This window comes from Homo sapiens, chromosome 17 (assembly GCF_000001405.40).
Source record: "Homo sapiens chromosome 17, GRCh38.p14 Primary Assembly".
NCBI classification, from domain to species: Eukaryota; Metazoa; Chordata; class Mammalia; order Primates; family Hominidae; genus Homo; species Homo sapiens.
Genome location: NC_000017.11, coordinates 67,899,442 through 67,913,214, shown reverse-complemented (window position 1 = coordinate 67,913,214; position 13,773 = coordinate 67,899,442). Strand labels below are relative to the sequence as shown.

The following is a 13,773-nucleotide window of genomic DNA, read 5'->3' as shown; positions in this document are numbered from 1 at the left end:
CCCCCAAATACATTTTAAAGTACATACCTCCAAGTGATGCCAAAGGTCGGTCTAGGAGAAGGATATGGCCATATATCCAAAGCAGGTTTTGCATTGTAATTAAAATAAGGGACCTCTCGGATTCCTCCTTTTCGGGCCAACTTTTTTAAGTCATCATTAGGCAAAACAAAAATGCTCTTCTTGCTGCTCTTGGTAACAAATTTTCTATAGGATGGCAGAGCTGTACCTGAACGAGTCTTCTTTGGTCTTGAAAATTTCATCAGTTTCACTTTGTCTCGTGTGGAATACTCTTTGCTCACAGTCATAGATGTAACCAGTGTGCCTCCCGTGGTGGTCAGGGAGTCTGTCACTGTCGTGGTGACCACGGTTTTGCTCTGCTCCTTTACAGAGATGATGTCCACACTGCCGCCTGTGGAGGGTGTGGAAAGCTTGGTCACTGTTGTAGTGGTGGTTGTGACAGTGGATTTTGCACAATTTTCTGTGGAAGAAACCACAGTTTGCTTATCGCCTTTTTCTACCTTGATCACAGTTTTTGATTCTGTGGCCACTGTGGAGGTCATCGTGGTGACTTCTGTGATGACGGTTTTTCTTTTAGATTCTCCATTGACATTTTCATTTTTGTTGATGGGCAGACCATTTTCATCAATAAAGTCATTACTGAGATTAGATTCCTCTTCAGAAGTAATAGGTGATGAAGTAACTTTCTTAACTTCTGAGGTTTCTATTTCCATATCTTCTACCTGATTAACTGAATTGCTTTCTGGACAAGATGCTGAGGGTGTGGTCGTCTGTGTACTGTCAGACTCTTTGGTTGATGGCAGGGTCTCAAGGCTATCTCGGTAGTTACCTTCAGCATCTGAAGAACTCAGCAAATGCGATTTTGTTTCGGAGCTGTTTCTTTCATTAAAATCTTCCATGATGACATCACCATTAATGAATGGCCTTATAGCAGATTCTTTAACAGTCAATGATTTAATATCATTCTCAGGGATTATTTTATTTATATTATTAACCTTTGGTTCAACATTACCACTTACTACTCTACTCTCAGAAATTTCTTTCAAGCATTCACCTTTCAAATATATTTTGGGTTTATTATCTTTTCCATTTATTTGAAATGTACTTGTTCTCTGTCCTTTCTTTTCAGACTCTCGATTTTCATTATTCTTTTTGTCAGTGGTATTTTTTAGCTTTATTTGATCACTACATTTATTAACTGGTCTCTCCTCTAATTTCTTCTGCTGACTTGGTTTTTTACCATTTGCTTCAGTCCCCTTGACCGGCAGCCTGTCCTCACAGTTTCCAGTGGACTCACCAGAAACCAACTCACACTTTAACGGCTCCAAGACTTCAACATCTTGTTCTCGAGTTCTGAACTGTTCAGAAATGCTTTCATTGCTATTCTGAACAATCATATCTTCTTCACTGCTATCCTGAATAGACACGGTATCAGAACTATTTTCCAAAGTGCTATTAGATTCAGAGTCACATCCCAGTTTTCCTTCAAAGTCCATTGCTCTTGACAGAGGTGTGGCATCTCTGTCATTGGTACTTTTAGGCACTGATGAATGTAAAGCACTCTTGGAAGAAGAAACAATGGTGTCACTTTCCTCCTGTATGAGCGGTTTTTTGTTCTTACAGATCAAAGTACCAATATCATCTGCACTGGCTAGTTTAGAGTCATCGATGAAAAAATCATTTCCTTTTGTTTTACTCTTACTGGGTTCCTGGCCTCTACTGGCAAGGTCAGAGACTTTTTCTTCTATGTCATTTTCAATGGAATTTTGTTTCGGACATTTTGTTTCTGGGCTCCGAATGGAGACATCATCTAACACTCGATCTTTTGGATAAAGTTTGTTTGTGGTATGACTAGGATCACTCATTCTAAGAACTGAGGAATCACTTTCTGAACATCCCTGAATCAAGTCCTCAGGTTGATCATTATTTGCATTTGGGCTCTGTTCTTGTCTCATCGAGTCACTCTGACACCCTTCTTTTGCTTTCGTTATTACTGGTGATTCAGAGAGATTTTTTGAAGAATTTGTAGAAGTCTTTCCTATACCCTTAATTCCACCCTCCAACTTGATTTTTTCGAGTCGCTGTTTTTCTTCCAGTGTAAACTGTTTAATTCTCCTTTCAAGAAGTCCATCTAGTTTGGATGATTTTGTTTTCTTTTTGTAACTAGTCCTTAGATGAAAACCCTCACTAACATTGACCACATCTACTTGAGAACTCTCCTGACAATTTACATGTGACTCTGTTTTCATGTCATCGTCTACTTCCATTGGTTCTTCCTTGCAGGGTTTATCACTGTCAGAATCTAAGAGCTCCTTCACATCTGTGAAACAAAGACATTTATATAAATGTAATTTTTACTCTGAAAGGAGGAATTTATATATATATATTTTTTTTTTTGAGATGGAGTCTCACTCTGTTGCCCAGGCTGGAGTGCAGTGGCATGATCTCAGTTCACTGCAACCTCCGCCTCCTGGGTTCAAGCAATTCTCATGCTTCAGCCTCCCAAGTAGCTGGGATTATAGGCATGTGCCACCATGCCTGGCTTATTTTTGAATTTTCAGTAGAGACAGGGTTTCGCAATGTTGGCCAGGCTGGTCTTGAACTCCTGACTTCAGGTGATCCGCCCACCTCAGCCTCCCAAAGTGCTGAGATTACAGGCATGAGCCACCACGCCCAGCCAAAAATATTTTTTTAAAGTATCTCTAGCCACATGCATTATCTAGCTTATCTAGTTTTTTTTTAAAAATGACTTGTTACAAAAGACAATGTAGTTCCTCAAAAGGTTAAACAGAGTTACCATATGATCCAGTAATTCCATTCCTAGGTATATCGCCAAGAGAAGTGAAAACGCATGGCCACAAAAAACTTCTGCATGAATGTTCATAGCAGCATTATTCGTATAGCCAAAAGAGGAAACAGCCCAATGTCCATCAACTGATGAATGGATAACAAAATGTGGCATATCCATACAGAGTATTATTCAGAAACAAAAAGAAAGTACTGATAAATGCTACAACATGGATGAACCTTAAAACCATGCTAAGTGGATGAAGCCAGCCACAAAGGACCACATATTGTCTGATTCCATTTCTATGGACTGTCCAAAATAGGCAAATCCAGAGAGACAGAAAGTAGACCACTAAGCTGGTGGCACTTTCGGGAGGGGTTGGGAAGTAACTGCTAATGGGTATGAATGAGGCTTCTTTTCAAGGTTATGAAAATGTTCTAAGATTGATGTAATAATGGTTGAACTTTGTGAATATACTAAAAGCCACTGAATTTACACTTTAATTGGGTGAATTGTATGGGATATCAATTATGTTTTGATAAAGCTGTTATCAAGAAAACACAACGCAGTACCTTTCCTGTGGTGGGACCCTGATCCAGTGCATTCTTATCACCCCCAGGCTGCCCTCCACAGCTGACTCTCCTTACCTTGGTCCTTCTTCTCAGTAATCTTTGAGATATCCATTTCATTTTGGTCTGCTCCTTTTGCAGCATCTGAACCTTTTACCTCATCTTTTTCAGAATCAGGCTCTATTTTTATTTTTTTTGGACTTCGTGAACATTTTCTTTTATCTGACTCATCCATATTTTCATCCATATTATTTTTGGCTAAAAAGAACCATGTAACGATAATTTACGTTATTTCCAGAGTATTAGCACTTTAATATGTCAAGTTTAGTGAAAATAAACAAGTAATTTCCAGCAAGTTATGTTTCATTTTTTCATTTAAAAAAAAAAAAAAGACAAAGGTCTTATTGAGTATAAGGTACCATATAATCCTATATGCCTGGCTGACCTAAAACACAGAAGGAATGCCTGAACTTCAGACATTTCAGAAAACTTTGTGAACATTTTTGGTGAAATATGATTTAGGAAATTTGTTTTAAAACACTGCAGGATAAAAAAAAAAAGGGGGGGGGGGACCTGGTGCGGTGGCTCATGCCACTGCACTCCAGCCTGGGTGACAGAGTGAGGCTCTGTGTCCAAAAATTAAAAAAAAAACAAAAAACTGTGATTCAGTAACATAGTCAGCTACAAGATAAACATTAATACTATAGGCTGGTGCGGTGGCTCATGCCTGTAATCCCAGCACTTTGAGGGGCCGAGGTGGGTGCATCACCTGAGGTCAGGAGTTTGAGACCAGCCTGGCTAACATGGTGAAACCCGATCTCTACTAAAAATACAAAAATTATCTGGGTGTGGTGGTGCACACCTGTGATCTCAGCTACTCAGGAGGCTGAGGCAGGAGAATTGCTTGAACCCAGGAGGCGGAGGTCGCAGTGAGCTGAGGTCACGCCACTGCACTCCAGCCTGGGCGACAGAGTGAGACTCCGTGTCAACAAAAAAAAAAAAAAAAAAAAAAATTGTCAGTGACAACTGAAACAAGAGTGATAAAATTTGGATGGGTGTAGTGGCTTATGCCTGTAATCCCAGCACTTTGGGATGCCAAGGTGGGCGGATCACTTGAGGACAAGGAGTTCAAGACCAGCCTAGCCAACATGGTGAAACCCCGCCTCTATTAAAAATACAAAAATTAGCCAGGCATGGTGGCGTGCAACTGTGATCCCTACTCAGGAGGCTGAGGCAGGAGAATCGCTGGAACCTGGGAGTTGGAGGCTGCAGTGAACTGAGATCGTACCACTGCACTCCAGCCTGGGTGACAGAGTGAGACTCCATCTCAAAAAAAAAAAAAAAAAAAGTGGTCAGTGACAACTGAAACAAATGTGATAAAATTTGGGTGAGTGTGGTGGCTCATGCCTGTAATCCCAGCACTTTGGGAGGCTGAGGCAGGCAGATCACTTGAGGCCAGGAGTTCAACACCAGCCCAACAAGGTGAAACCCCATCTCTACTAAAAATACAAAAATTAGCCAGTCATGGTGGTACGAGCCTGTAGTCCCAGCTACTTGGGAGACTGAAGCAGGAGAATTGCTTCAACCTGGGAGGCAGAGTTTGCAGCGAGCTGAGATGGTGCCACTGCACTCCAGCCTGGCTGACAGAGCAAGACTCTGTCACACACATAAAAAAATAAAATGAAAGAAAACTCGTGTATGAAGGATTATCACAATCTATTTGATCATTCCAGAAAGCCCATATCAGTGGTTTCTAACATACTTTGTGTCACAGAACCCTATTAGAAATGGATAAATGCTATGATCCTCTACCAAGGAAAAAAGTATGTATATAAACTTTTGTAATCTATTTCAATGGTTCTTGGACTCCTTGAAGTTTATATAACAGAATAAAAGACTGAAAAAAAGGATCAAAGGCAATCTGTGGCCTTGTTTACTGCTTACAGTAAAAAGGTATCTCTAAGACAACCAGGGCAAGTGGAATATGGACTGAGAATCAGATTATTAATTTGTTAATTACGGTTAATTTGTTGAGTGTGATAATGACATGATGGTTATGGAAAAATGTCTACGTAGAGATACATATTGAACTTCTGGTGAAACATGATTTCTGGGATTTATTTTAAAACACTGCAGGATTAAAAAAAGTGGTCAGTGACAACTAAACAAAGAGTGATAAAATTTGGCTGGGAGCAGTGACTCACACCTGTAATCCCAGCACTTTGGGAGGCCGAGGCAGGCAGATCACTTGAAGTCAGGAGTTCGAGATCAGCCTGGCCAACATGGCAAAACCCCGTCTCTATTAAAAATACAAAAATTAGCTCGGCGTGGTGGCGGGTACTTGTAATCCCAGCTATTTGGGAGGCTGAGGCAAGAGAATTGATTGAACCCGGGAGGTGGAGGTTGCAGTGAGCTGAGACCATGCCACTGCACTCTAGCCTGGGTGACAGAGCAAAACTCCATCTCAAAAAAAAAAAAAAAGTGATAAACTTTGATAATTGTTGAAGCTGAATGAGTTCATTATTCTCTTTGTATTTGTGTAGTTTTAAATTTCCCATAATAATTACAAAAAAAAAAAAAAAATCAAGCCTCCCAAAACAGAACTACTGTCTAGATGAATATTCTTGGGACTTAAAGGTTTTTTTTTTTTTTTTGGAGACAGTGTCTTGCTCTGTCACCCAGGCTGGAGCACAGTGGGTTCATCTCAGCTCACTGCAGCCTTGAACTCCTGGGCTCAAACGATCCTCCCTCATCAGCCTCCTGAGTAACTGGGAATACAGGTGTGTACCAATATGTCTGGCTAATTTTTGCATTTTTTGTAGAGATGGGGATTTGCCATGTTGCCCAGGCTGTTTCTTGAACTCCTGGGCTCAACTGATCCTCCCCTGCCTTGGCATCCCATCACAGGTGTGAGCCATGGCACCTGGACTTAAAGGCATTTTCCTATTCTTTACCTTCTTCACTTGAACCTAAATATCCCAAGGACCTAGCAAGGTATATCCATTTTTTATTTAAATGAATGATTTCTTCCAGAAAGGTCTGGCTGAAGGGAAGAGAGTGCAAAGAAATCATAATTCTGTCGCGAGCAAGATACTGGTGTGAGAAAATAGATATAAAAAATATATCTATTTTTAATTTAAATGAATGATTTCTTCCAGAAAGGTCTGGCTGAAGAAAGAGAAGAGAGTGCAAAGAAACCGTAATCCTGTCAAGAGCAGGATAGTGGTGAGGTAAGAGAAGAATCACAGAAAAGGGCTTGGGACCTGCCAGCGTTCTATCACTCTGTGCATATGTGGTCTTCACTATGTCACCTGGCACCCTCGTGAAATAATCGGCTCATTGAACTTGAGTTTAAAAACACATGATCTTTTAAAAGAGCAGTTCATCTCTATAGAGTTCGGTGATTCTAAATACTAAAGCTCATTAGCCAGTTGTAAAAACTCAATTAATAGCTTATTTATAGGCCAGGCGCAGTGGTCACACCTGTAATCCCAGCACTTTGGGAGGCCGAGGCGGGCAGATCACAAAGTCAAGAGATTGAGACCACCCTGGCCAACATAGTGAAACCCTGTCTCTATAAAAAATACAAAAATTAGCTGGGCATGGTGGTGTGCACTTTTAGTCCCAGCTACTCGGGAGGCTGAGGCAGGAGAACTGCTTGAACCCAGGAGGCGGAGGTTGCAGTGAGGCCAGATACGCCACTGCACTCCAGCCTGGTGACAGAGCAAGACTCCATTTCAAAAAAACAAAAACAACCCCTCCCCCCAAAAAAAACCTCATTATTTTTTTAAATTATACTTTAGTTCTAGGGTACGTGCGCACAACGTGCAGGTTTGTGACATATGTATACATGTGCCATGTTGGTGTGCTGCACCCATTAACTCTACATTTACATTAGGTATATCTCCTAATGCTATCCCCCAACCTCCCCCAACCCCACGACAGGCCCCGGTGTGTGATGTTCCCCATCCTGTGTCCAAATGTTCTCACTGAAAAACCTCATTTATGTGACAGTGTTTTGGAAGCCTCTATCACTTTCTTTCTGGTTTTCTCTTACTTGCAACAATGCTAAGGTTACTAGATACATGACTCCTCAGTGAATTAGTACTGAATTAAGATTTTTTTTTTTAAGAGATTGAGTCTGGTTCTGTCATCCAGGCTCGAGTGCAACAGCACAATTATAGCTTACTGCAGCCTCAAACTCCTGGCCTCAAGCAATCCTCCTGCCTCAGACCCCCAAGTAGCTGGGACCACAGCCATGTGGCACTACACCTGGCTAATTTTTAAAACGTTTTTGTAGAGATGGGGTCTTGCTATGTTGCCCAGGCTGGCCTTGAACTCCTGGCCTCAAGTGATCCTCCTGCCTCAGCCTCCCAAAGCACTGGGATTATAGGTGTAAGCCACTGTGGCTGGCCTGAATTTTTTTTTTTTTGAGACAGAGTCTTGCTCTGTCACCTAGGCTGGAGTGCAGTGGTGCAATCTTGGTTCACTGCAACCTCTGCCTCCTGGGTTTAAGCCATTCTCCTGCCTCAGCCTCCTCAGTAGCTGGGATCACAGGCGTGTACCAGCACACCCAGCAAATTTTGTATTTTTAGTAGAGACAGGGTTTCACCATGTTAGCCAGGTAGTCTAGAACTCCTGACCTCAAGTAATCCACCTGCCTCAGCCTCCCACAGTGCTGGGATTACAGGCGTGAACCACCGCGCCTGGCTGCCTGGCCTAAATTTAAGATTTTGAAAAATGATAATCAGGCGGCTGAGGCGTCTTCTAAAAAACAAGTTCCATTCTACAATCTTACGGAAATCTGAGACATCAAATTCCTGTGAATAAAGGTAATTTTTAAAGTTTTAGGGTTTTAGTAAACTAAACTAGTAATTCTGCAGTACGAATAAAAATTTCAGAAAAATGTTTTTATCTAAAATATAGTCAAAATACTACAAATTTATAAGAAATATAAAGCAGAAACGATTATGCAGGACATGTAATTTTAATTACTTACTTCCTTCTAACGACTTTCTGTAATTCACATTAGTATTGCCTGGCAATTTAGGAACAAACCTATAAACATGAGTTTTACTAATCCAGCTCCAACCACCATATCCTGTCACTCTGTACTCTTCACCTTTTTGTTTCCAAACCTGGTGTAAATGAAAACATTTTGATTAAACAATAAGAATAACAATGCTTATAAACCACATGTGGTTTTATGCATTTTTACCAAACAAGTTTCAAAGTCAGGCAAATGAAATTTACTAATCATCCCCAGGTTTTTCCAAGTGGGGACAAAAAAAATTTACTAATCAATTTAGTTTTCACTGGGAATCAAAGATTAATGAACTAATACTCCTTTTTAGCATGTAAAATGTAACACAATTTTACAGTTTTATAACAATTTCAACAAATTGGCCTTGTAAGCCTCCAATATTCTAAGATAAACCAATGCTTTGTAAATTTGCCAGGAAGATGTACTTTATCCCTAACATATTAATTAAAAGACTATGTCAAAAGTAGGCCAGGAGCAGTGGCTCATGCCTGTAATTCCAGCACTTTGGGAGGCCAAGTCAGGAGGATCACCTGAGGTCAGGAGTTCCAAGACTCACCTGGCTAACATGGTGAAACCCCATCTCTACTAAAAATACAAAAATTAGCCAGGCGTGGTGGTGCACGCCTATAATCCCAGCTACTTGGGAGGCTGAGGCAGGAGAATCGTTTGAACCCAGGAGGCGGAGGCTGTAGTGAGCCAAGATTGTGCCACTGCACTCCAATCTGGGCAACAGAGCGAGACTCTGTCTCAAAATAAATAAATAAATAAATAAAATACAAAGACTATGTCAAAAATAAAATTAGTAAGTATTCAAAGTTTCAGAATAAAAGTCTCAGAAATGGCTAACACTATTTTAAAGGGTTGTTGTAAAAATTACCTGATGCTTAACTGGAAATGTGTATTTTACCCATGTCGCTTGCTGCATCGTTTCTTCTTCTTCCTGTTTCTTCTCTTTTTTTTTGACTTTCTCCTTTTCTTCTCTTTCAATTGATGTCATCCGGTGTAACCTAAGAATTCATGCATAGAAAGACAATGTTAACTTGGAAAAATAAACAGAAAAGATAAAAATGCAATACTGAAAAATTAGGAAAACAAAGCAGACTGTTATAATCCTACAAACCAGACAACCCCAACTGACAAAACTTAGTTGTAGTTGTACAATTCCTTAACAAGAAAAGATAAAGAGTACAAAAAGGCAAAAACAAGAAATACTATATCCTTTCCATAAGAAATAATTATGATTTATTTCTAAAACATTTCATGTATATATGGTATATACCAACATTTATGTATCTCTTTACATAGTCCATTACATATTCACACATATGTACTTTTTAGTGCACACACAACCACAGTTTTTAATCAATGGATAATTACACTAGAAGATCTTTCCTTATCAAAATATACAGATTTTTTTAAGGAATTAAAAAATATTCCATTGCATGGATATGCCATAATTTATTAAACCAGGTCACTGTTAAAGAATACTTTGTTTCCAGAGTTTTTTCCTTCCAAAAAACGAAGACCAAAGAATACAAAAACATTTATTTTATCAACCAGTATTTCTGATTCTCACAAGCACTGCGGATTTTAAAGCACTCACAGATCTACTAACAGAAATCAGGTTTCTTACATCCGCAGAGAAAGGGGCCCATGGGGCCCCATCTTTCGAGAAAGAGAGGAAGGATGAGGAAGGTCGGCCCATATTGACCTAAATCATGAGACACAGGCATCGGCCACAACTCCTTCTCAGGCAGGAAAGGAAATCACTGCACCTACCAGTAAAGACTGTGGTGAGGCTCTACATTTAGGGGATTAGACTAGATTTTTATGAATCAGAATATTTCTCAGAGAGACACGAAGCAAAACCTACAAAGAAAGGAGCTCTTGTCTCTAAGAGCGCTAGTGGCAGAAGAACTGCTTTTATCACACCCTAACCAGATGCAGCCAATTTCTCATGCACAGCTCTGCAGAAAGAATAGAGACCTTTTGTTAACTTGGGGTAGTGATGCCGAAAAGATGTGGGAGGGGATTTCAGTCTTTTTATCTCCTTTCCCCCCACAAAAAACTCCCCATCAATCTCCCGGCTTCTTCTCTCCCTCCCAACTTTTACGACGGCTTTGTGTCCCTGTGATTGTAGGTTCCCAGAATACAGTCTCCCCCAGGCTGACAGCTCATGCCTATTAACTGCACTCAACTGGTGTAGCAAACATTCTCCATAGGCTCTTCGTAGTCTCTCATAAGCTGATGGGAGGAGGGGAAAGGGAGCAGATCCTCACTGGGAGCTAATGTACTCAAATTCCATCCCTCTGCCAACACGCTTGGAACTAAGGAGAAGGACTAGCTCTGTAGGCACAATACGGTGGATAACCTGACAGTCTCAGGCTACAGGAGTAAGGCGGGGTGACTATGCCAGGAGGACTGTGTAGGATTTCTCATGGAGATTTTGAGGGCTTGGCTTCTATACACCTCTGAAAGGCCAGGTCCAGCATGGCAACTGGGCCATTTTCACTGAGAGAGGCCAGGAATGGAGCACTGTCTGAAGGACTTCAGCGCAGTGACACCCTAGGAGCTCAAAGCTGGGCAGGGTGCTCAGTTGTGTTCTTGGTGTCCATGAGGCAAAGAGGTCCCTTTTATCACCAAATACAAAGGCTTCTCTTTGTGGAGGAAGCAAGGCCAGTTAGGCAGTCTTATGGCTAATCTCTGATGCTACCTATCCCAGAGTAGCATGCTGGTGGGTGTGCCAGTGGCAGATTTTCTTTCTACTTCTTGGCCAACGAAGTCCAACCAAGAGAATGAACTCAACTTCAACTCCACTGGTGCTCAGGGTTTTGTGGTGTTTTGCTATCACAGCCATAGCTGTAACAAACAATATTTTATGTCTTTCTTGGTAAACCTGGGGAGTACCCCCCTATATCCTCCAGTGGTGGGATGGCTGGGTCCAAAAGTTCTTGCACTGAAAATGCTGACGGATATAGGGTCAAACTACTCTTCAGAACAGTGCAATCATAAAGCCACCCTGCGTTCCTACACCTTCACTCATGCTGAGTTAGTATTGAACTTCTAAACTGTTAGTCAAACTCAGAGGTAAAAAATACTATCCCATTGTTTTTAATTATGAGAGAAGTAATCATTTTTTATGTCTACTGGCCTTTCATATTTATTTTTCTGCAAAATGCCTATTCAAATCCTTTGTCTTGTTTGTATTAGACTATTAGTAGTTTTCATTTATAAAAGGTCTTTGTCAATCAAGAAAATTTTCCATTTGTGGTAAAAATATTTTTCCTCGGTTTGTCATCTGTCTTTTGACTTTGATTACAATAACATTTTTCCACTCAGAATTTTAAATATATGTATCCACTTTTTTCCTCTATGGCATCTGGATTTTTTATCTGTTTAAAAAGAAAGTATCACAACAAAAACATAAATTAATTCATGCTTTCTTATTGACGTTTTCTTTTGTTTTTAGGGTTCTGGGTTTTTTTTTTTTTAACAATTCTTCATCAATCTAAATGTTTTTTGCTAAGGCAGAGATCTAAGTGATATCTTCCCAAACATGCTTTCCCTTTGTGATGTGCAATGCTACTACAGCTAAATTCCCATGCTTAGGTCTATTTTTGGATTCTGTATTTTATCTACTGATTTGCTTCTTCTGTAGAACAAATTATTGAAGCTTCAAAATGTGCTTTAATATCTAGTACCTTTTTCACTAACATCTATTTTTTCCCCTTTTGGCTATTCTTACACAATAACTTTTTTTTCTTTTCTTTTTTTTTAAAGACAGGTTGTCACTCTGTTGCCCAGGATGCAGTACAGTGGCGCAATCATAGCTCACTGCAGCCTCAAACTCCTGGGCTCAAGCAATCCTCCTCCAACTTCTAGGCTCAGTCTCCCAAGCAGCTGGCATTACAGGCAAGCAAGACCATGCCTGGCCAATTTTAATTTTTTTGTAGAGACAGAGTCTTGCTATGTTGCCCAGGATGGTCTCAAACTTCTCACTTCAGGTGATCCTCCCTCCTCAACCTCTCAAAGTGTTGGGATTACAGGCGTGAGCTACTGTGTGCAGTATTCTTGCACATTAACTTTTCTAGATCAAATATTAGTATCGTTTTGGTCAAACCTCCCCTGCTCCAGGATGGAAAATCTTATTCCCAAAGTATCCTTCATGTCTTTAGTTAAGCTTTAAAGATTGCTTAGCTTTTTAATTAATTAATTAATTATTATTTTTGGTAGAGACAGGGTCTCCCTATGTTGCCCAGGCTGGTCTTGAACTCCTGGGCTCAAGCAATCCTCCCGCTTCACCTCCCAAAGTGCTGGGATTACAGGCATGTGCCACCACACCTGGCCTAAAGATTGCTTTACACAGGCCTTGAATATTTCTTGTTACATTTGGCTGAACGCGGTGGCTAACGCCTGTAATCCCAGCACTTTGGGAAGCCATTGAGGGTGGATCACTTGAGCACAGGAGTTCGAGACCAGCCTGGCCAACACGACAAAACCCCATCTCTACTAAAAATACGAAAATTAGCCGGGCATTGTGGTACTTGTCTGTAATCCCAGCTACTCAGCAGGCTGAGGCAGGAGAATTGCTTGAAACCAGGAGGTGGAGGTTGCAGTGAGCCGAGATGGCGCCACTGCCCTCTAGCCTGGGCGACACAGCAAGACTCTGTCTCAAAACACACAGACACACACATGCGCACACACACAATTATTCCTAGGTGCTGGAGGTTTTTGTTGTTGTTGTTCCTGGAATCTTCTGCTTCATTAAAATTTTCAAAAATATGTAAAATGCAACCAGGTTAAGAAACAGAACTTTATCTACAACCAATACATCAGATGCTTGTGTGTCCAACTCCCTGGCAATCAATACTTTTGTGCTAAACATTCCCTTGTTTTTCCTTATACTTTTAGAACCTATGTGTGTGCATCCCAAACTGTATAAGTTTGCCTTTTGAAAACTCAGCATAGGCCGGGCGCGGTGGCTCATGCTTGTAATCCCAGCACTTTGGGAAGCCGAGGTGGGCAGATCATGAGGTTGGGAGTCGGAGACCAGCCTGGCCAACACAGTGAAACCCCATCTCTACTAAAAATACAAAAATTAGCTGGTCGTGGTGGCACACGCCTATAATACCAGCTATTCAGGAGGCTGAGGCAGGAGAATCACTCGAACCCGGGAGGTGGAGGTTGCAGTGAGCTGAGATTGCACCACTGCACTCCAGCCTGAGCGACAAACAAGATTCTGTCTCAAAAAAAAAAAAAAAAGAAAAAAAACTCAGCATCAAGTATAAAACTACCTGCATAGAGCAGTATTGTTACTATCAAAGAAGGTTCCCAGGAAAATATAAACTTGTCTC

General features: G+C 40.8%; 1 protein-coding gene across 51 annotated transcripts in view; it reads right to left on the bottom strand.

Moving 5' to 3' along the window:
• Window positions 1-13,773, bottom strand: part of BPTF (bromodomain PHD finger transcription factor) — a 158,876-nt gene that overhangs the window by 71,164 nt on the left and 73,939 nt on the right. For all 51 annotated transcript variants that reach the window (XM_005257150.4, XM_005257154.4, XM_005257159.3 and 48 more), the window contains 4 exons: window positions 9,297-9,426; window positions 8,375-8,513; window positions 3,454-3,633; window positions 28-2,338 (listed from right to left, as the gene is read on the bottom strand). In XM_005257150.4, coding sequence (XP_005257207.1) covers window positions 28-2,338; window positions 3,454-3,633; window positions 8,375-8,513; window positions 9,297-9,426 — 2,760 coding nt within the window. The remainder of the gene's footprint in view (window positions 1-27; window positions 2,339-3,453; window positions 3,634-8,374; window positions 8,514-9,296; window positions 9,427-13,773) is intronic.